At 42.2% G+C, this 25,531-nt stretch overlaps 1 protein-coding gene and 1 long non-coding RNA gene across 2 annotated transcripts in view; one reads left to right on the top strand and one right to left on the bottom strand.

The window, feature by feature from the left end:
• TEKT5 (tektin 5) overlaps positions 1-7,433 on the bottom strand; it is a 67,430-nt gene extending 59,997 nt beyond the window's left edge. Inside the window, exons 1-3 of the mRNA NM_144674.2 lie at positions 6,813-7,433; positions 2,445-2,528; positions 1,756-1,826 (exon numbers count right to left, since the gene is read on the bottom strand). Of these exons, the coding sequence (NP_653275.1) occupies positions 1,756-1,826; positions 2,445-2,528; positions 6,813-7,376 (719 nt within the window). The 5' untranslated portion in view covers positions 7,377-7,433. The remainder of the gene's footprint in view (positions 1-1,755; positions 1,827-2,444; positions 2,529-6,812) is intronic.
• Positions 3,366-5,476, top strand: LOC105371079 (uncharacterized). Its single transcript, NR_188625.1, has 2 exons — positions 3,366-3,902; positions 5,121-5,476. It is a non-coding gene; the product is annotated as an uncharacterized LOC105371079 (long non-coding RNA).
• Positions 7,434-25,531: the final 18,098 nt, after the last annotated feature.

Genomic DNA, 25,531 nt, shown 5'->3' on the forward strand with positions numbered 1-25,531 from the left:
CACTCAGCACTGTGGGAGCCTGAGGTGGGCAGATCACCTGAGGTCAGGAGTTCCAGACCAGCCTGGCCAACATGGCAAAACACTGTCTCTACTAAAAATACATAAAATAGCTGAGTGTGGTGGCATGGGCCTGTAATCCCAGCTACTCGGGAGGCTGAGGCAGGAGAAACGCATGAATCTGGGAGGTGGAGGTTGCAGTGAGCTGAGCCCATACCACTGCACTCCAGTCTGGGCAGCAGAATGAGACTTCGTCTCAAACAAATAAATAAACAAATAAATATGAACATTTAAGGGATTTTATTTACTGAATTGATTTTTATTTATTTTATTTTATTTTTTAAGCCTTTAAGGGTACATAGTAGGTGTATATATTTGTGGGGTACCTGAGATATTTTGATACAGGCATGCAATTTGTAACAATCACATCAGGGTAACTGGGGTATCCATCCCCTCCAGCATTTATCATTTCTTTGTGTTACAAACATTCCCATTTATACTCTTTAAGTTATTTTTAAATGTGCAATAAATTATTGTTGACTGTAGTCACCCTGTTGTGCTTAAGGTTTTTTTAAGTGAATCAATTTATAGACAAACTATAGGTAACAATAGTCCCGGTGATAGGTGGAATTGTGAGAAATTAGAACAGGGGCACACAAATTATTGAACTTCAACTCTGTTTGTGTCCTTTCAGCCATCATCCCTCCTGCTATATTTGCATCTTCTCTGTACACCTCCACCCCGATGTCTTTCTAGGGGTCTCCAATGTGTCTGTCCGTGACCAAGCTCTTTGCTCTATGGGTAGCTTGCCTGCGATGTCTTTCTCCCTAACACCCAGAACTAACCCCTTCGGGGGATCCAAGGGCTCCTAGAGGAGGAGGTGGGTTCTGGGGCACAGCAAACCAAGATATGTGCTCCCAGGGCTGATTTGGAAGGTGCCCGCCCCCCCTGCATCCACGCCAACTGCCCATGTGCACCAGGCAGCGGGAGGGACAGCCATTGCCAGGTTGCCAGGCTGTCCCGTGCTTTCTGTGTCTCTGTGTCAAGAGGGAATGAAGTGGAAAAACCAGCAGAGCAGCGTGCCCTGAAAGAGTCAAAGGTGAGTGCCAGCTGCAGGTGGAGGTGAGGCGGCTGCTTTCGGGGGAGCTGGTGCCAAGGGCTTCACTATGGGCCCCAAGCCCCGTAAAACTTAAGTCTCCCTTTAATTATGTGAGGGGCCCCCAGGCTTGTCGGGATACTGGTTACATAATCTTGTAAGAACAAAAAGCTGATTTTGTTTGAAGACTTCTGGCTCAATGCGTCCACCAGCTCCCTTGTGGAGGTGCCCAGCCCCTGGCCTTGCTACCTAATACCACCCACCCTCTGTCATCTCCCAAGGTTCAGAACTCAAATGGGGAAGCCACAGGCTAAGAGGGGCCTCAGGGAGGCCAGTTGCCTCTGGCCAGGGCTCTCGCTGTAAACAAGAGAAACCAGCGATGCACGGGTTGTGAGAGTCAGTTGTACACATCTCAGTAACATCATATTAGCAGCTTAAAATCAGCCACTGTGGTAACATTTACACCAGCGAAACTGGCAGATACTATGATCAGGACTCTTTTTTTTTTTCCTAGAAGGCTGGTTGTTGAACATTTACCAGCATACCACTGACCAAAAGAACCACCCAGAGACAAGTGGGCCCATCTGGCTTGTCCCCCAGAAATCTGAGAGTCCTAAAACAAACCCCAAGGAGAGGGAATTAAAAAAAAAAAAAGCCCTTACCGCATCTGGATATCAATTCTTTGAGCTAATTTTCTCATCTGTTCTTGGCAACATTTTAGCAAATCCACTTCCTGAAATGAAAAATGTCAGAAAGAGCAGTGCCTCTTAGAACCTCACAGTCTTCTCTCCCAGGCCAGAGCCCTCAGCTCTCCCCTCCCCTCTCACTGACCACCCTCGACCCCAGGAGGTGAAATGTCAGCGTGGGGCCCCGCCTCAATCCACGTGACCCCAGGGCCAGGCAGCTAAGGGTTGATTGTGGAGGCTCCACCTTTTTTTTTTTTTTTTTTTTTGCCCTACTTTCTTTTTATAGACTCCCAGAATAAAAGAAAATTTAGCACCTACCATGTGCCAAGCACTCACTTATAGATTATCATTACATTAAATAATGCATATGATGTGGTACAGCCTATGACATATAGTAGGTGCTCAATAAACGCTAGCTTTTATTATTGTTATTGGTATATTATTATCATGCCCATTTTGGAGATGAAAAGACTGAGGGTCAAATAACTCCATTACTCCCTGTTCCTAAATTGCAAACTAGACCTCCACCCATGCTTCCTGAGCCCTCACTTTCCACACAGTGACACGTGTGGCTTCTGCTCCTGACAGGTAGCTCAGTAATTTCTCTGACCTGCTGGCCTTCCCGCCTCCTTCAGGGGGCTGGGCAGAACCAGGAGATGCCTTACCCGGATAAGGTTTTTCTCCACGTTGTCATGGACCAAATCAATCCCAATCCTCTTCTCTCGATGGTACAGACACTCCAAGGCCACCTGTGGGAAGCAGCAGAAAGAACGTATTCTTCCTGTAGCTGTATGTAGACCCTGAGCAGAAGGGACTCACATCCACCCTTGCCACAATCTGTTCCTTTCTCCCGGAAACCTGGGTGCTTCATGTGACCTCACTACTGGGCATTGGATGGGCTTCTGCCTCCCCTTCTCCCCGGATGAGAGCTGTGGGTTGTCATATGACCAAGGCATCCGGAGATGCAAGGCCCATGTAGAGAAAACAGGATAAAGTAGCATCCCAAGAACCAATTTTGATTCCCATAATTGCATCAGCAGCCCCAAGCCTTCCCACAATACAATAATACATAGAATAAAACTTCATAATAATTTCAGATAAGACAGTGTTGGCGGCCATCTTCCATGTAGCTTCTCTTCTGACTTCAATCGGGGCTTGACCACTTCCTATTGTGTGCATTTGGGCAAACTGCTTAACCTCTCTGCTGGTTTCCTCCTCTGCAGATGGGTGCCATATTGGTGCCTATCTCACAGGTTCATTGTGCAGGTGAAGTCGGCTTGACAAGTGTAAATCACTGAGAACACTGCCCCTAAATATTACCTGTGAATATGCATGAAAACCCCTCTTTGCAGATCTCCCAGTGGAGGGACAGTTTGGGGAAGTGGTCAGGACAACCCTGCCACCTAGCCCTGGGCCTTACAACTCTCATGCAGACCTGGGCAGAGCAGAAGAGAGGACAGGACAAGGGGCTTTTCAGGGGCGCTCTATGATGGGAAGCTGACAAACAGCAGTGATTAGCAAACCAGCCCGTGATGTCACAAAGGGCCCAGGAGCAGAAGGAAGCAGGATGTCAAGGTCTGGATGTCAGGATGCAAATGTATGTGAGAACTCAGAAATGGGAGGGGGTCACTGACCCGTGCCACAAGGATTTCCGGAGCCCCTTCTGTGAGACATGCTCTGCTGAGGTGCTGGGGATAGCACAACGAACCAGGCTGAGAGTCCCTGCTCTCACACAGCCTGTGTTCTACTAGGGGAGAGAACACCCATAAGAAACTCAGTCAGGCTGGGCACAGCGCCTCCTTCATGCCTTTAATCTCAACACTTTGGGAAGCCAAGGTGGGAGGATTACTTAAGCTCAGCCTGGGCAGCATAGTGAGACCCCATCTCTACAAAAAATTTTAAATTAGCCAGCCATGGTGGTGCATGCCTATAGTCCCAGCTCCTCAGGAGGCTGAGGTCGGAGGATCTCTTAACTCCAGGAGGTCAACTAATGAGCCAAAATCATGCCACTGCACTCCAGCCTGAGCAACAGACAAAGACCCTGTCTCAAACAACATCAACAAACCAGGAACTCAATCATTTCCAACTGTGTGAAGGGCCAAGAGGAAAATATTCAGGGTGAGGTGAGTGGGTGAGGAGTAACCAGCGGAGTGGTCAGGGAGGAATTCTCTAAGGAGGAGAAGGACTGTGTCATGAGAAGCAGAGATGCAGAGCTGGGCAGGAATGCACCAGAAGGGAAAACAGCAGGTGCAAAGGCCCTGAGGTCAGCAGAGAAACAGACAGGAAGCCATTGGCCCTGGAATAGAGGAAGCGAGTCTAGAGCAATAGCGGGGACAGGGGTTATGGGGAGGGGTGGAGGAATTCCGGAATTAAGATGTTAATTTCTGGGGGACCAGACACGGTGGCTCACGCCTGTAATCCCAGCACTTTGGGAGGCTGAGGTGGGCGGATCACGAGGTCAAGAGATCAAGACCATACTGGCTAACACGGTGAAACCCTATCTCTACTAAAACTACAAAAGATTAGCGGGGCATAGTGGCGGGCGCCTGTAGTCCCAGCTACTCGGGACGCTGAGGCAGGAGAATGGCGTGGACCCGGGAGGCGGAGCTTGCAGTGAGCCGAGATCGCACCACTGCACTCCAGCCTGGGCAACAGAGCGAGAGTCCATCTCAAAAAAAAAAAAAAAAAGGTTGTTAATTTCTGGGAGGCCATCAAGGGAACCAGTGGCTGCTGTAAGGACAATGGATTGGAAGGGAGCAGGAATTGGGAGACCAGGTGGCTTACATTGCGCAGGGAGAGGCTGCCTGGATTGTGGGGGCAGCCTAGGAGATAGAATTGAGATGTCGATGGTCCCCCTGCCACCACATGGCTGATCAGAGAAAGCCAAATGTGACCAGGCAAAGCTGGACTTTCCAGACAGGATGGGGGAGTGAGAAGAGAATGGGAGGGAGAGCAGTAGGTCTGGGATACTGCTGTAGGGCTCTGAAAAGCTGCCCTGCCCATCATTCTTCCCAGGGAGAATCTGGGGTTGTATAGAATCTGCTCCCTGCATTCCATGGATTTGGACATCCTAGAGTGATAGAAACCTATGCCATGTCTCCCAGGGAGATCCGGAGGCAGGATCTCTCCTACGGAAGCCCCTGTAGCTGCAGGAGGCTTCCAGGCAAGAGGTCCTGAGTTCCCCACACACTCCAGGGAGCAGCCGATCATCTTCCTCTGTGGCCAAAGTCAGTTCCCATAGGTGCTGCTGGTTCCTTACCCAGTGTCCACTCAACCCCTTCCATGATTTTCTCCTGGACGTGGTGAGAAACATTCACTTATCCAGACCCCTTTGCATCCAGGGTCCATGAGAGTGCTGGCTAATAGGCTAAACATGGAGACACACGACGGACCTTCTAGAAAAGACATTCCCTGATAAAAAGCAATGGTGCCCATTGATGCTTCTGCTCTTTGTTCTACCCTTGCCTTCCTGCCTCGAATGAGAATATCAAGAGGCCCCTGGCATGCAGGAACTTGCAGTATAAAATGCAAAACCTCCTTGGGAACAGGAGAACACAAACCACATGCTGTGGGTGGCAGAACAGAGAGAGGAGCCTGGGTCCCTTCTGGCACCAAGTTGAGGCTGGAGCCGCCTGATCTGTCTCCCTCTGGAATTTTCCTCATGACAGAAAAATAAATTCCTGTTTGGCTAAACCACTATCGTGGAGTATTTGTTACATGCGGCTAAAAACTATCCTAACTGAGCAGGGAGACAACTGGAGGCTAGGAGACCAAGGAAGTGTTAGGAATGTCCACATTTAGTTTTTGTTTGTTGTTTGTTTGTTTGTTTTGTTTTTTGAGATGGAGTCTTGCTTTGTGGCACAGGCTGGAGTGCAGTGGCGCAATCTCAGCTCACTGCAACCTCCGCCTCCTGGGTTCAAGAGATTCTTATGCTTCAGCCTCCCAAGTAGCTGGGATTACAGACATGTGCCACCATACCCAGCTAATTTTGTATTTTTAGTAGAAATGGGGTTTCATCATGTTGACCAGGCTGGTCTCAAACTCCTGACCTCAGGTGATCCACCTGCCCTGGCCTCACAAAGTGCTGGGATTACAGGTGTAAGCCACTGTGCCCAGTCACATTTAGATATTTACTCATTTATTCAGCATGTATTTATTGAATGCCTACTCTGTGCTTCGCCCTGTCCTAGGCTGGGAATACATTCAAAACATTAGTGTAAACAATACCAGTCAGCACCGACATTGGTCACTACGGACCCACACAGACATACAGGTGCCCTGCACTGAATAGCAGTCTTGAATACATCAGTGACAAAGCAGGCAAAAATCTCTACCTTGATGGAGACTATACTGTATTCTAATATTCAATCAAGTATAGAGCATGTTAAATGATAAGTATTACGGGGAAAAATAAGGCAGTTATGGGCCAGGCACAGTGGCCCATGCCTGCAATCCCAGCACTCTAGGAGGTCAAGGCGGGAAGATCAGATCGAGACCAGCCTGGCCAACATAGCAAAACCCTGTCTTCACTAAAAATACAAAAATTAGCTGGCCATGGTGGCGGGCACCTGTAATCCCAGCTCCTCAGGAGGCTGAGGCACGAGAGTCGCTTGAACCCAGGAGGCGGAAGTCGCAGCGAGCCAAGATCGAGCCACTGCACTCCAGCTTGGGTGACAGAGGGAGACTCTGTGTAAAAAATAAATAAATAAGTCAGTTATTTTAAGCATGTGCTTTAAGGACCAGAACACACACATGCTCAGGCATGCATAAGTATGCACACAATATTTTCATGAAACCCCTGCAACTTTGATGTAGCTTCAAGGAGAAAAGGAAATTCTATTCAGTCCAAGAAACCCTGATTTGACTGGGATTATCCTGAATTGACTAAGATTGTATTACTGATCGTATTCGATGATGCAGCTCAAACCGACCTGCAAGGTGCCTGCCACCTTCATCTTCAGTCAAGGGAAGCAGAATGAGCGTGCAGTATCCCCAGGACACAGCCACAGCCCTGTCCCCACCCCTGTACTCACCTGCAATGGGCAGTTCACCTCATTGGCCGCGCACTCCAGCCGCCTCTTGACCGTCTCCAAGTTCTGGTTCTCAGTCAGAAGCCTGTCCAGCTCATAGCTCAGCTCTGACTTCCAGAAGCCAATGTCCGACAGCCTCTGGCCCAGGTTCCGGCAGGTGCCCTCCTGCATCTGGTGCGTCAGCTGGTCCTTGTCCTGCAAGAGCCTCATGGAGTCATCCGTCAGCCGGCTGGCCCACAGCCGGGAGGCCTCGGCCCCACGCACCTGCAGCTGGTTGGACTGGTCCCAGTCGTGGGGGCTATAGCGAGAGAAGAGTGCGGAGCGCAGTGTGGGCAGGATGGTGGGCGGCCGCAGGGTACTGGTGCTCTCGTCCGGGCAGGTCTGGACGTTGGCTATCTTGTAGAAGAGGCTAGGCCTCCATGAATTGAGGTAGCGGTACCCGGGCAGGTAGTAGGGCTGATAGCATTCCTGGATCACTGGCGCCTGTACAGCTGGCAGTGAGGTCAAGCCACAGCATTTCTTGGGACCACAGTAACTGGCGGTCTGAGTAGTCCCAAGAAACTCCATCCTCCCTCATGAGCCCCACTCGGGCAAAACTCAGCTCAAGGAGCCAAAGGCATCACCAGGAAAGGTGAAAGTGCTTCTCTTGGGGACTAGCAGAACCTCTATGACTCAGCACTGGTGTCATAAAGCCTGGGGAGAGGGACTCTTAGCGGGGCCTTTGCTCACTTACAGGCCAGCTGCAGCCATATTGTCCAAAACAAAAAGACAAAAACAATAATCAGCAAAGTGAATGTGAGTTTCATAATCCACAGATTCGGTTGCAAGAAGTGACATTTTATCTTCCTATTACAACTGGGCGGGAGGAAAATTAATGTAGTTTACCCAGTGAATTCATCAGCTCAGGGACAATTTGGTCAAAGCGAGTTGTTTTCTTTCTTTCTTTGTCCCCAACATGGCATCAAAATGGTCCATCTGAGGTGAGGCATGGTAGCTCATGCCTGTCATTTCAGCACCTTGGAAGGCTGTGGCCAGAGGATCACTCAAGTACAGGAGTTACTAGTATAGGAGACTAGTATAGGAGACTAGCCTGGGCAACTTATTGAGACCCCATCTCTACAAAAGAATTTTAAAACGAGCTGGGCACAGTGGCTGGCACCTGTGGTCCCAGCTACTCAGGAGGCTGAGGCAGGAGGATGGCTTGAGTCCAGGAGGTGGAGGCTGCAGTGAGCTGTGATCGCACCACTGCACTCCAGCCTGGGTGGCAGAGCAAGACTGTCTCCAATAAAAAAACAAGGTTCATTGGTACCATGGAATACCACTCAGCAATACTACTCAAAACAGCACAAATGAATCTCAAATTTTAAGCTATGTGGAAGCAGCTAGGCTCAAAAGATGACACTGTGTATTAGTCCATGTATATGACATTCTGGAAAAGACAAATCCATACGGACAGAGGACAGATCAGTGGTTGCCAGGGTCTAGAGGTTGGGGGAGAGTTGTTGGCTCCAAAGGAGCACAAGAAAATCGGGAGGGGCGAGACAGTATGTTCTAGATCTTAATTGTGTTGGTTACACATTTAGTGGAAACCTATAGAAGTTTCCACTAAAAAGAGTAAAATTTACTGTACATCAATTATACTTCAATAAACCTGATTTTTAAAAATAGAGGGAGGGATCTTGAGCATCAGGAGGCAGAGACCACGTCTATTTTGCTCACCATTAAATTCCTGGCATCCAGCACACTATTGAATGAGTGAATGAATGGGTATCTAAAACGAGAGCTTTCTTGTTCCAGAAAAGTTATTAACTCTACATTCTATAACAATTTTTTGTTTTCAGAGAGACAGTCTTGCTCTGTTGCCCAGGCTGGAGTGCAGTTGCATGATCGTAGCTCACTGCAGCCTTAAACCCTTGGGCTCAAGTGATCCTCCTGCCTCAGCCTCCCGAGTAACTGGGACTACAGATGGATGTCATCATGCCTGGCTAATTTTTTTTTTTTTTTGTAGAGATGGGGGTCTCACTATGTTGCCCAGCCTGGTCTCAAACTCCTGGCCTCAAGCGATCGTCCCGTCTTGGCCTCCCAAAGTGCTGGGATTACAGGCACGAGCCCCCCACCCCCACCCTACCACCACCACCCAGCCTATAACAATATTTTAATTACACCAAGAAATTTTCCTCCCTCTTTGGCTGGTGAGAGTAGCAACAAAGTGACAAGGTACAGAACAAGAGGAGTGCTTGATTTGTGGGGCTTCTTTCTGCTGTTGAACTGGGAAAGAGATGAATCTAACTCTCAAATGGTCTTTGTTAGTAGAGTATGATGTTCAATAGCAATTTTCCCCCAATCGCCTAAAATCACGAGTGGGTATGAGAGGACCAAGGCAGCAAAAATGAAGATAAATAACATTTAGTAAGCATCTTCAATGTTCTTGTGCTTTACATAGACTCATTTATTTCATTTCCACAGAAAACCTTTAAGGAAGGCATCACACCCACATCTTCTAGCGTGGGATCAGAAAAGCAAGTGGGCCCTGGTCCTCCCGACGTTCACAACCCTTACCTCTCAGGATCTTCTAAGATGGGACGTCACATACAGGAGGGGACTACACACAGAAGGCAGCCAAGAAATGGACGAAAAAGTTTCGAGTATTTTTTTAAGCACTAAATGGTTATGGTAAAATATTATTTTGGAGGAAGTGTAGGGGGAGGCGAGGGGAAAAAAGGTTTTTTGTGTAACATCAACAAGTATAAAGTGAAATTTAGGGTTTCTCATCATCCTTGGCTTCTTGTAGCCTCCTCAGATATAACTAATATTATCAGATTTTTCCAGAGATAATTCATACATATATAGCATATATCTAGATATTGTCATATATAACACACTATGATATTAATAAAATATCTAAAATATTTATAATAATATCAAGTGTTAACACACAGTGTTACCACACTATGATGTTAACAAATATCTATGATATTTATAATATCTAGTGTTAACACAATGTGATATTAGTAAACTAACACAGCTACAAATTCTAGTGTTAACACACTGTGATATTAATAAAATCTCTATATTTATAATATCTAGTGCTAACACATGGTGTTAACACACAATGATATTAATAAAATCTCTATATTTATAATATCTAGTGTTAACACACTATGATATCAATAAAATGTCTATATTTGTGATATCTAGTGTTAACACACTATTAACAAACTATCTATGATATTTATAATATCTAGTGTTTACAGTGTTAACACACTATGATATTAAGAAAATATCTTTATATTTATCATATCTAGTCATGACACACTATGATATTAAGAAAATATGTATGCTATTTACACGATCTTGTGTTAACATACAGTGTAAACACACTATGATATTCATAAAATAGCTATGATAAATATAATATCTAGTGCTAACACACAGGGTTAATACATTATGATATTAATAAAATATCTATGATATTTATAATATCTAAAGTTAGCACACTGTGTTAACATGCTATAATATTCATAAAATATCTATAATATTTATAATAACTAATGTAAACACACAATGATTAATAAAATATCTATATTTATAATATCTAGTGTTAACATACAGTGTTAACACACTATAATATTAAAAAATATCTATGATATTGAAAATATCTAGTGTTAAAACATTAAGATATTAATAAAATATCTATGATATTTATAGTAGCTAGTGTTAATACACACTGTTAACTCACTATGATATTAATAAAATATCCATATTTATAATATATAGTCTTAACACACAGGGTTAACACACTATGCTATTAATAAAATATCTATGACATTTATAATATTTAGTGTTAACACAGTATGATACTAATAAAATACACATGGTATTTATAATATCAAATGTTAACACACTATGATATTAATAAAATATCCATGACATTTATAATATCTAGTGTAAAAACACAATGATATTAATAAAATATGCATAATATTCAGGAATTAATATCATGGATATTAATAAGATAGCCATGATAATTATAATATCTAGAGGTAACACACTATGAAATTAATAAACTATCCAAGACATTTATAATATCTAGTGGTAAAACACTACAGTATTAATAAAATATCTATGGCATTTGTAATATTTAGTGTTAACACACTATATTAATAAAATATCTATGATATGTATAATATCTAGTGTTAAAATGCTATGATATTAACAAAATATCTGACATTTATAATATCTACTGTTTACACACAGTGTTAACAAACTATGACATTAATAAAATTTCCATGATATTTATATCTAGTGTTAACACACTATGATATTAATAAAATATCCAGTGTTAACACACTATGGTATTAATAAAATATCCATGATATTTATACTATGTAGTATTAACACATGTGATACTAATAATATATCTATGATATTCATAATATCTAATGTTATCACAGGGTGCTAACACACTATGCCATTAAGAAAGTATCCATGACATTTATATTATCTAGTGTTAACACAGTAGGATATTAATGAAATATCCATATCGCACCCCCTGTGACATTAGGAGTAATATCTCCCTAGAATATTATGAATAATATCACAGGGTGTCCACATATGATGTACATCTCTGTGACATTAGAAGTAATGTCTCCCTTGGATATTATGAATGTCACAGAGTGTCCACACACGGTGTACACCTCCTGTGACATTAGGAGTAATATCTCACTAGGATATTAGGAATAATATCACAGGGTGTACACACATGGTGTAAACCCCCTGTGACATTAGCAGTGATATCTCCCTAGGATATTAGGAATAATATCACAGGGTGTACACACGGTGTACACTTTCTGTGACATTAAGAGTAATATCTCCCTAGGATATTCCGAATAATATCACAGGGCATACATCCCCTGTGAAGTTAGAAGTAATATCCCCCTAGAATACTACAAGTGATATCACAGTGTGTACACCTCCTGTGATATTAGGATTAATATCCTTCTAGAATATTATGCATAATATCACAAGGTGTATACCCAGTGTGACATTAGGAGTAATATCTCCATAGGATATTATGAAATATATCACAGGGTGTACACCCACTGTGACATTAGGAGTAATATCCCCCTTAATATATTAAAAATGATATCACAGGCCGGGCGTGGTGGCTCATGCTTGTAATCCCAGCACTTTGGGAGGCTAAGCGGGTGGATCATGAGGTCAGGAGATTGATACCATCCTGGCTAACACGGTAAAACCCCGTCTCTACTAAAAATACAAAAAAATTAGCCAGGCATGGTGGTGGGTGCCTGTAATCCCTGCTACTCGGGAGGCTGAGGCAGGAGAATGGTGTGAACCTGGGAGGTGGAACTTGCAGTGAGCCGAGATTGTGCCACTGCACCCCAGCCTGGGTAACAGAGCGAGATGCCATCTCAAAATAAAAAATAAATAATAATAATATCACAGGATGTACATCCATTGTGAAATCAGGAGTAACATCCCCCTAAGATATTATGAATAATATCACATGGTGTACTCCCACTGTGACAAGAGAAGTAATATTACCCTAGGATATTATGAATACTATCACAAGAAGTACACACGTGGTATACACCCACTGTGACATTAGAAGTAACATCCCCCTAGGGCATGATGAATAATATCACAAGGTGTACACACATGGTGTACAACCACTGTGACATTAGGGGTAACATTTCTCTAGAATATGATCAATAATATCACAGAGTGTACATCCTGTGAGTAACATCCTAGGAGTAAAATCCCCAGAGGATATTAGGAATAATATCACAGGGAATGTACACACATGGTGTACACCCACTGTGACATTAGGTGTAACATCTTCCAAGGATAAGACGAATAATATCACAGGGTGTACATACATGGTGGACACCCCCTGTGACATTAGGAACACATCTCTTTAGAATATCAGGAATAATACCACAGGGTGTACATCCCCTGTGACATCCCCCTAAGAATTAACATTCCCCTAAGATATTAAGAATAATATCACAGGTTTACATGCCCTGTGACATTAGGAGTAACATCACCCTAGGAGATTACAAATAATATCACAGGGTGTACACCCTCTGTAATATTAGGATTAAAATTCCCCTACAATATTACGAATAATATCACAGGGTATACACCCCCTGTGATATTAGGAGTAACATCACCCTAAAATATTACAAATAATATAACAGGGTATACACACCCTGTGACATTAGGAGTAACATCCCCCTGGGATATTAAGAATAATATCAAAGGGTGTACACCCCCTGTGACATTAGGAGTAACATATCCCTAAAATGTTACTGATAGTATCAAAAAGGGGTACATAACCTGTGACATTAGAAATAACATCCTCCTAGGATATTACAAATAATATCACAGTAGATATTACTGCTAACGTCACAGTGGGTGACCACACATGGTGCGCACCCACTGTGATATTAGGAGAAATATCTCCCCAGAATATAATGCATAATGTCCCAGAGTGTACACACACGATGCAAACCCAGTGTGAAATTAGGAGTACTATCTCCCTGGGGAATTACGGGTAATGTCCTAGGGTGTACACACAGGCTGTACACCCACTGTGATATTAGGAGTAATATCTCCCCAGGTTATTATAAATAACTTCCCAGGGTGTACACACATGGTGTACACCACTGTAATATTAGCAGTAATATCCCCCAAAAATATTACAAATAATGTCCTGGGGTGTACACACATGGTGTACACCCACTCTGATATTAAAAGTTATATTTTTCTGGGTATCACAAATAATGTCCCAGCATGTACACATGGTATACATCCACTGGGATATTAAGAGTAATATCTCCCCAGGATATTACAAATAATATCTCAGGATGTACACATAGGATGTTCATTCAATGTGATATTAGAAGTAATATCTCCCTAGTGTATTACAAATAATGTCCTAGGGTGTACACACACAGTGTACACTCACTATGATATTAATGATAATATCTCCCCATGATATTACAAATAATGTCCCAGAGTGCACACACACAGTGTACACCCACTGTGATATTTGGAGTAATATCTCCTTAGGATATTACAAATAATGTCCCAGGGTGTACACATGGCATATACCCAAGGTGATATTAAGAGTAATGTCTCCCTATGATATTACAAATAATTTCCCAGAGTGTACACCCACTGTGATATTAGAAGAAATATCTCTTCAGGATATTTCAAATAATATCCCAGTGATGTTAAGAGCAGTATCCTTCCAGGATATTACTAATAATATCCCAGTGTGTGCACACATGGTGTACACTCACTGTAATATTAAAAATAATATCTCCTCAGAATATTACAAATACTATTTCAGAGTTTACACTCATGTTGTACACCCACTGTGATATTAGGAGTAATATCTTCCCTGAATATTGTGAATTCCAGGGTGTACACCCACTGTGATATTAGGAGTAACATTTCCCCAAGATATTACGAATACTATACCAGGGTGAACACACATGGTGTACACCTACTATGTTATTAGATGTAATATCTCCCCAAGCTATTACAAATACTATCTCAGGGTGAACACACATCCTGCACACCCACAGTGATATTAGGAGCAATATCTGCTCTGGATATTACAAATAATATCCCAAACAGTACACACATGGTGTACACCCACTGTCATATTAAGATTAAGGCTGGGTGCGGTGGCTCCCGCCTGTAATCCCAGCACTTTGGGAGGCCGAGGTGGGTGGATCACGAGGTCAGGAGATCGAGACCATCCTGGCTAACATGGCGAAACCCCGTCTCTACTAAAAATATAAAAAAATTAGCTGGGCGTGGTGGCGGGCGCCTGTAGTCCCAGCTACTCGGGAGGCTGAGGCAGGAGAATGGCATGAACCCAGGAGGCAGAGCTTGCAGTGAGCCCAGTTCGCGACACTGCACTCCAGCCTGGGTGATAGAGCGAGACTCTGTCTCAAAAAAAAAAAAAAATTAATATCCCCCAGAATATTACAAATACTATACCAGCATGTACACACACGGTGTACACCCCCTGTCATATTATAAGTAATATCTCCACAGGATATTATGAAGACTATACAAGGGTGTACATGCATGGTGTACACCCATTGTGATATTAGGAGTAATATCTCCCCAGAATATTACTAATAATATCTCAGGGTGTACACACACAGTGTACCCCCACTGTGATATTAGGAGTAATATCTTCTCAGGATATTACAAATAATGTCCCAGGGTGAACACACATGGTGTACACCCACTGTGATATTAGGAGTAATATCTTTTCAGGATATTATCAATAATGTGCCAGGGTATACACACATCGTATACACCAACTGTGATATTAGAAGTAATATCTCCCCAGAATATTACAAATGATTTCCCATGGTGTACACACTTGATGTACACCCCCTGTGATACTAGGAGTAATATCTCTCCAGGATATTGTGAATATTGTCCCAGGGTGTACACACATGGTGTGCACCCACTGTGATATTAGGAATAATATCTCCCCAGGATATTATGAATAGTGTTCTAGGGTGTACACACATGGTGTACACTCTGCTGTGATATTAAGAGTAATATCTCTGCAGGATACTACAAATAATATCCCAGGGTGTCCATCCACTGTGATATTAGAAATAATATATCCCCAGGATATTACAAATAATATCCCAGTGTGTTCACACATGGTGTACACCATCTGAGATATTAAAGGTAATATCTCCCTGGAAATTATGAATACTATCTCAGGGTATACACATATGGTATACACCCACTGTGATATTAGGAGTAATATATTGCCAGGATATTGCTAATACTATTCCAGGGTGTACACACATGGTGTAAAAGCATTGTGATATTAGGAGTAATACCTCCCCAAGATATTACAAATGCTATACCAGTGTGTACACACATGGTGTACACACACGATATTAAAAGTAGTATCTCCCAAGGATATTAATAATAGTATCCCAGGGTATACACACATCGTGTACACCCACTGTAATATTAGGAGTAATATCTCCCCTGGATATTACAAATACTATCCTAGAGTGTACACACATAGTGAACACCCACTGTGATATTAAGAGTAATATTCCCCAGGATATTACGAATACTATACCAGTGTGTACACACATGGTGTACACCAACTGTGATATTATAAGTAGTATCTCCCCAGGATATTATGATTACTATCCCAGGGTGCAGACATATGGTGTACACTCTTTGTGATATTAGGAGTAATATCACCCCAGATATTACTAATAATATACCAGGGTGTACACACATGGTGTACCTACCCCCACTTTGATATTAGGAGTAATATCTTCCCAGGATATTACAATAATGTCCTAGGGTGTACAGACATGGGGTACACCCACTGTGATATTAGGAGTAATATCTCCCCAGGATATTACAAATAATGTCCCAGGGTGTACACATGTGGTGCACAACAACTGTGATATTAGGAATAATATCTTTTTAGGATATTATGAATAATGTCCCAGGGTGTACACACGTCATGTAAACCAACTGTGATATCAGGAGAAATATCTGCCCAGCATATTACGAATAATGTATACACCATGTGTGTACACCCACTGAGATATTAGGAGTAATATCTCTCCCCAGGATACTACTAATACTATCCCAGGGTGTACACACATGGTGTACACCCACTGTGATATTAAGTGTAATATCTTCCCAGGATATTGTGAATACTCTCCCAGGGTGTACCCACCTGGTGTACAGCCACTGTGATATTTGGAGTAATATCTCCCAAGGATATTACGAATACTATTACAGGGTGTAGACACATGTTGTACACCCACTATGATATTAGGAGTAGCATCTCTCGAGGACATTTTGAGTACTATCCAACACATCGTGTACACCCACCATGATATTAGGAGTAATATCTTACCAGGATATTATGAATAGTATATGAGGGTGTACAGGGTGTACACACATGATGTATACACACTGTGATATTAGGAGGAATATCTCCCCAAAATATTACAGATACTAAAACAGGGTGTACACACATGGTGTACAACTACTGTGATATTAGGAGTAATAGCTCCCCAGGATATTATGAATACTATCCCTGGTGTACACATATAGTGTCATATTAGAAGAAATAATAGGCACACATAGTGTCATAGTAGAAGAAATATCACCCAAGAATACTATGAATACTACCTGAGGGTGTACACACATAGCATACACCCACTGTGATATTATGAGTAATATATCCCCAGAATATTATGAACACTATCCCAGGGTGTACACACCTTGTGTACACCCACTGTGATATTAGGAGTAATATCTTTCCAGGATATTACGAATACTATCCCAGGGTGCACACACATGGTTTACACCCACCATAATATTAGGGGTAATATCCGTTTAGGATATTATGGATACTGTCACAGAGTCTACACCATGTATGTGATATTAGGAGTATATTTCCTCAGAATATTATGAATACTATCTCAGGATGTACACACATATTGCACAACTACTGTGATATCACCAGTAATACCACCCAATGTCATTACGAATGCTATACCAGGCTCTACACATATGGTGCACAACCACTGTGATATTACGAGTAATATCTTTTCAGTATATTAAAAACACTATCCAGTGGTGTACACACATGATGTACACCCACCGTGACATTAGAAGTAATAGCTCCCCAGGATATTACAAATACTATACTATCCCAGGGTGTACATATATGGTATACACTCACTGTGATTTTAGTAGAAATATCGCTCCAGGATATTACAAACACTTTCCGAGGGTGTACACACACTGTGATATTAGGACTAATATCTCCACAGGATATTATGAATGCTATCTCAGGGTTTAAACACATGGTGTACATCCACAGTGACATTATCTCCCCAGTATTTTATGAATAATATTCCATGATATTAAAAGTAATATCTCCCAAAATATTACAAATACTATCCCAGGGTGTGCACACATGGTGTACACCCACAGTGATATTAACAGCAATATCTCCCCAGGATATTATGAATACTATCCTAGGTGTACACACATGGTGTACAACCACTGTGATATTAGGAGTAATATCTCAACAAGATATTATGAATAATATCCCAGGGTGTACACACGTTGTACACCCACTGTGATATTAAGAGTAGTAACTCCATAAAATATTACAAATACTATCCCACACATCGTGTACACCCACTGTGATATTAGGAGAAATATCTTCTTAGGATATTATGAATATTATCACAGGGTGTATACAAATGGTGTAAGCACTGTGATATTTAGAGTAATATCTCCCCAAAATATTAAGAATACAATAACAGGATATATACACATGGTGTACACCCACTGTGATATGAAGGGTAATATCCCCCGGGATGTTATGAATACTATACCAGTGTGTACACACATGGAGTATACGCACTGTGATATTAGGAGTAATATCTCCCTAAGTCACTGTGATATTAGGAGTAATATTTTCCAGGATATTACCAATGCTATCCCATGGTGTACACACATGCTGTACACCCACTGTGATACTATAAGGAGTATCTCTGCATCATATTACGAATTCAATCCCAGGGGGTATACACAGGTTGAACACACACTTTGGTATTAGGAGTAATATCTTTCAAGGATATTACAAATAGTATCCCAGGGTGTACACACATGGTGTATGCCCACTGCGATAATAGGAATAACATCTCCCAAGAATATTATGAATAATAGAGCAGAGTGTATACACATGGTGTACACCCACTGTGATATTAAAAGAAATATCTCCCGAGGATATCACAAATAATATCTCAGAGTGTACACACATGGTGTACACCCATTTTGATATTTGGAGTAATATCTTTGGAGGATAATATGAATAATATCGCAGAGTGTACACACATGGTGTACACCCACTGTGATATAAAAGTAATATCTCCAGAGGATATTACAAATAATATCACAAGGTGTACACTCACTGTGATATTAGAAGCAATATATTCGAAAGATATTATGAATAATATCACAGGGTGTACACTCGATATTAGGAGTAATATCTCCCTAGGATATTACAAATATTATCACAAGGGGTGCACACACTGTGCTATTAGGAGAAATATCTCTCTAGGATATTACAAATAATATCACAGGCTGTACACACATGGTGTACACACACTGTGCTATTAGGAGTAATATTTCCCTAGGATATTATTAATATCACAGGGTGTACACACATGGTGTACATTTACTGTGATATTAGCTGTAATATCTCCCTACAATATTACGAATAATATCTCCCTCGGATAATATCTCCCTCTGATATTATGAATAATATCAGAGGGTGCACACACGTGGTGTACACCCACTGTGATTTTCAAAGAGAAATATTTCCCCAGGATATCATGAATAATATCCCAGGTTGGGCAAACATGGCATACACTCACTGTGATATTAGAAGTGTAATATTTCCTCAGGATATTACAAATATAATCTTAAGGTGTACACATATGGTGTACACCCACTAAGTTATTAGGAGAGTAATATCTCCTTAGGATATTATGGATAATATTTTTGGGTGTACACATGGTGTGTACACCCATTGTGATATTAGGAAAATATTTCCCTGTGATATGGGGTGTAACATCATCCTTTTCCCCGCTGGATATTAGGGACTATATACACCCCCTGCGATATGGGAAGTAACATTATCCTTTCTTCACCTGGATACTCCAGACAATATCTCACGGGGGTGTACAACCCCTGCGATATGCAGAGTAATATCATCCACTCACCCCCTGGATATTATGAACAATATCATAGGGGGGTGTTCACCTACTGTGATATGGGGAGTAATATAATCTTCTGTCTTCCTGGATATTGCAAACAATATCACAGGGGGGTGTACATCCCCTGCGATACTGGGAGTAATATCATCCTCTCCCTCCCTGGATATTATGAAAAATAAAATGGGGGGGTGCTCGCCCCCTACGGTAGGGGGAGTAATATCATCTTCTTCCTCCCTGGATATTACTTCCTGCAATATTGGGTGTAATATCATCCTCTCCCTCCCTGGATGTTATGAACAATAGCACAGGGAGGTGTACACTCCCTGTGGTATGGGGAGTAATATCATTCTCCTCACTCTTGGATATGATGAAATATAGCACAAGGGGGTTTATACTTTCTGTGATATTGGGAGTAATATCATCCTCTTCCACCCTGGATATTACAGACAATATCGCAGGGGGGTGTACACCTCCTACGATATGGTGAGTAACAACATCCTCTGTTTCCGGGATGTTAAGGATAATATCGCAGGATTTTGTAAACCCACTGCAATGTGGGGAATAACATCATCCTCTCCACCCCTGAATATTACCGACAATATCGCAAGGAGGTTACACCCCCTGTAATATGGGTAGCAACATCATCCTCTCCACCCCTGGATATTATGAACAATATCATATGAAGGTGTACACCATGAGGTATGGTGAGAAATATCAGCCACGACCCCTCTGAATATTAAAAAACCATATCACAGGACGTTTTATACCCCCAGCGATATGGAGAGCAATAGTATCGTCTCTCATCCTGGATATTACGAACAACATCATAAAAAAGTGTACACCCCCCGCTATACGGGTAGTAAATACCACCTCCCCGCTTCTGTATGTGATGAACCCTATCGCAGGTGAATGTACACCCCCCGCTATATGGGTAGTAAATGTCACCATCTCCCTCTCTGGATGTCACAAACCATAACACGGGTGGATGATACGGGGCGTACTATCACTAATTCCCCACCGGATATTACGAACGATGTCACAGAAAAGGTGTACACACCGTGCGATATAAGGAGTAGTATTATACATTTTCCTCTTGGATATTCAGAACCACATCAGAGAGGATGGAACACCCACCGTGATATAAAAAGTAGTATCACCCTATCCAACCCTGGAAATTATAAATTATATCACAGTGGGGTGAACACCGCCAGCGACATGGGGAATAACATCACCAAATCCAAATCGAATATTACGAATCATATCACAAGGACGGTGTACACCCCGCGCGACATAAAGAGTAATATTATACAATTTCTTCTTGGATATTACAAACCACATCTCAGAGGGGTGAACGACCCCCGCGATATGGGGACTAACCCTCCTATCCCGCCCTGACTGTTAGGAGCCATGGCTGTTCGCCCCTCTCGTTCGCCGTGTTTCCGACACTGGAAGAAATATCATCTCCATATGATGGAGGAGTCTGCACCCCCTGCAATATAAAGAGAAATATCATTCTCTCCTTTCCGGATATTAGGAAGAATAACACAGGGATGTGTACACCAGCTGAGATATGAGGAGTAATATCACCCTCTTCTTTCCTGGATATTAGTAGCAATATCACAGGGGAGTATATACCTCTTGCGATATTGGGTTTAATATCATCTTTCCCTCACTGGATATTACGAACAATATCACCAGGAGGGGGTTTAGACCCTCTGAGATAATGGAAATAATATCTTTTTTTCCACTCTTGGATATTAGGAACCACATCACAGACAGGTATACACTTCCTGCAATTTTGACAGTCATATCACCTTCTCCTCCCCTGGAAATCAGGAACAATATCACAGAAGTGCTGTGCACTTTCTGGGATATTGGTTGTAATATCTTCCTCTCCACCCTGGACCTTATGAACAATATCACAGGCATGTGTACACGCCCTGCGATTTTGAGAGTAATATCATCCTTTCCTTCTTTGCATATTAGGAACCACATCACAGGGGGTGTATACACTTCCTGCAATATTGACAGTAATATCACCTTCCTCTCCCCCTGGAAATTAGGAACCATGTCACAGGAGGCGTGTACATGTCCTGCAATATTGTGAGTAATATCCTCTCCCTTCCTGGATATAGGAAGAATATCATGGGCAGCTCTACACTCCCTGCGATATGGGAAGTAATACCATATTCTCCTTTCCTGGATATTGAGAACAATATCACAGGGGAGGTGTACAACCCCTGCGATATTGGGAGTAATGTTATTCTCTCCACCTTTGGATATTAGGAACTATATCACAGAAATGCTGCACACTTCCTGTGATATTGGTGGTAGTATCTTCCTATTTACACTGGATATTACGAATAATGTCACAGGGGTGTGTACACAGCCTGCGATATTGGGAGTAATATCATCCTTTCCCCCCCTGGATATTAGTAACAATATCACAGAAGGGGTGTACGTTCTCCCTGCAATATTGGGACTAATATCATCCACTCACCTCTGGATATGAGAAACAATATCACGGGGGGGGGGGGGGTTGTACACCCTTCTGAGATATTGAAAGTAACAATATCCTCTTCCCCTCTGGATATTAGAAACATATTACAGAGGGGTGTACACCTCCTGAAATATTGGGAATACTATGATCCTCTACCCTTCTAAATATTACGAACAATATCACAGAGAGTGTACACCCCCTGCGATATTGAAAGTAATACTATTTTCTCCCCTTCTGGATATTATGAACCGTATCACAGGGGGATGTACACCCCATGCGATATTTTGAAAAATATCATTTTCTCTCCCCTGAATATTATGAACAATATCACAGAGGGGAGTACACCCCCTACGATAGTGGGAGTCACATCATCCTCTCTCCCCCTGGATATTACATACAGCATAACAGGCGGTTGTAAAACTCCTTCTATCTTGGGAGCAATATCATCTTCATTTCCTTGGATATTAAAAATAATATTACAGAGGGGTGTACACTTTCTGCGATATTCAAAGTAGTATCCTCTCACCCACTGAATATCACAATAATAATAATGGGTTATTATTATGAACAATATCACAGGGGAGTGTACAATGCCAGCAATATTGGGCATAATATTATTCTCTCCATCCCTGGATTTTATGAACAATATCACGGGGGGGGGGGTGTACACATCCTGCAATATTAAGAGTAATATCATCCTCTCCCACCCCTGAATGTTAGGAACAATATCACAGGGAGGGTGTACACCTCCACCGATTTGGGAAGTAATATCACCCTCTCATATCTTCGGATATTATAAACAATATCACAGAGTGTGTGTACACCCCTTATGGTATTAGGAGACATATCATCCTCCCCCCTACTGGATATGAGTGACAATATCACACGGGGGTATACAGCCTCTGTGATATTGGGAGTAACATCATCCTCTTTTTCCCTGGATATTAGGAACAATATCAAAGGGGGGGTGTGTACACCCTCTATGATATTGGGAGTAATATTATCCCTTTCCTCCCTGGATATTAGAAACTATATCACGGGGAGGGGGGTGTACACCCCCTGCGATATTGAAAGTAATATTATCCTCTCCCTCCCCGCCTAGATATTAGGAACAATGTCTCAGGAAAGATGTACACCAGTTGCGATGTTGGAAGTCATATCATCCTCTCCCCCTCTGGATATTAAGAACAATATCGGCCGGGCGTGGTGGCTCACGCCTGTAATCCCAGCACTTTGGCAGGCTAAGGTGGGCGGATCACGAGGTCAGGAGATCGAGACCATCCTGGCTAACACGGTGAAACCCCGTCACTACTAAAAAAAAAAAAAAAAAAAAAAATTAACCAGGCGTGGTGGCTGGCGCCTGTAGTCCCAGCTACTCGGGAGGCTGAGGCAGGAGAATGGCGTGAACCCAGGAGGCGGAGCTTGCAGTGAGCCGAGATCGTGCCACTGCACTCCAGCCTGGGCGACAGAGCGAGACTCTGTCTCAAACAAAACAAAACAAAACAAAACAAAACAAAACAAACAAAACAAACAAAAAAAGTCACAGGGGGGTGTATACACCCTGCAATATTGGGAGTAATATCCTCCTCTTTTCAACTGCATATTAGGATATTACAATATCACAGAGGGAGTGTACACCCCCTGCGATATTAGAGGTAATATCATCCTCTCCCCCCCGGATATTGTAAACAATATCAAAGGGGGAGGGTGTACACGTGCTATGATATTGGGAGTAATATCACCCTCCCTTCCTGGATATTAGAAACAATGACACAGGGGGGTGTACATTCCTTGCGGTATTGGGAGTAATATTATCCTCTCTCCCTTGGATATTAAGAACAGTATCGCAGCAGGGGCATACGCCCACTGCGATATTGGGAGTAATATCATCCTCTGCTCCCCTGGATATAAGAAACAATATCACCGGGGAGGTCTACACCCCCTGTGATATTCAGAGTAATATCATCCTTTCCTCCCGTGGATATTAATAATAATATCACAGAAAATGTGAACATCCTCCAGCAAAATTGGAAGTAATATCACCCTCTCGCCCCCTAAATATTATAAACAATATCACAGGGGCTGTGTGCACTATCTGTGATATTGGGAGTAATAACATCCTCCCCCCACGCCTAGATATTAGAAACAATGTTACAAAGGGGTGTACACCCCCTGCAATATTGGGAGTAAGTCATACTCTCTGCCACTGGATATGAGAAATAATATCATCAGGGGGCGTATACCCCGTCCAATATTGACAGTAATATCATCTTCTCTCCCCGTGGATATTAGGACCAATATCACAGAAGGGGTGTACATCCCCTGCAATACTGTGAGTAATAACATCCTCTCCCTCCCTGGATATTCGGAACAATATCAAGGGAAGGTGTACGCTCTCTGCGATATTGTAAGTAACATCATCCTCTTTCTCCCTGAATATTATGAACAATATTACAGGTAAAGTGTACACTCCCTGCCATATTGGGAGTAATATCATCTTCTCTCCCCTTGAATATAAATAATATCACAGGGGGAGTGTACACCCCCTGTGATATTACAAGTAATATCATCCTCTCCTTACTAGATATTATGAACAATATTACAGGGAAAGTGTACACCCCCTGTGATATTGGGAGTAATTTCAGCCTCTCTCCTTTAAATATTAGGAAGAATATCACAGGGGGGTGTACGCCCTCTGCGATATTGGGAATAATATTATCCTCTTCACCTTTGAATATTAGGAACAATATCACAGAAGTGGTGTACACCCACTGTGATATTAGGAGTAATAACTACCTAAAATATTACAAGTAATGTCAAAGGGTGTACAGTCACTGTGATATTAGGAGTAATATCTTTCTTAGATACAACAAATAATATCACAGGGTGTACACCCACTGTGAAATCAGGAGTAATATCTCCTTAGGATATTACTAATATTTTCCTAATATTCGTAATAATATTACGAATAATATCACAGGGTGTACACCCACTGTGCTATGAAGAGTAATATCTCCCTAGGATATTACAAATAATAACACAGGGTGTACAGCCATTGTGATATAAGGAGTAATATGTTTCTTAGATACTACAAATAATATCCCAGGCTGCACACCCACTGTGATATTACAAGTACTTTCTCCCTTAGATACTAGGAATAATATCACAGGCTGTACACCAACAGTGATATTAGGAGTAATATCTTTCTAAGATACTATGAATAATATCACAGGCTGTCTACCCACTGTGATATTAAGAATAATATCTTTCTAAGGTACTATGAATACTTTCACAGGGTGTATACCCACTGTAATATTAGGAGTAATATCTCCCTAACGTACTATGAATATCACAGGGTGTACATGCACTGTGATACT

This window comes from Homo sapiens, chromosome 16 (assembly GCF_000001405.40).
Source record: "Homo sapiens chromosome 16, GRCh38.p14 Primary Assembly".
NCBI lineage: Eukaryota > Metazoa > Chordata > Mammalia > Primates > Hominidae > Homo > Homo sapiens.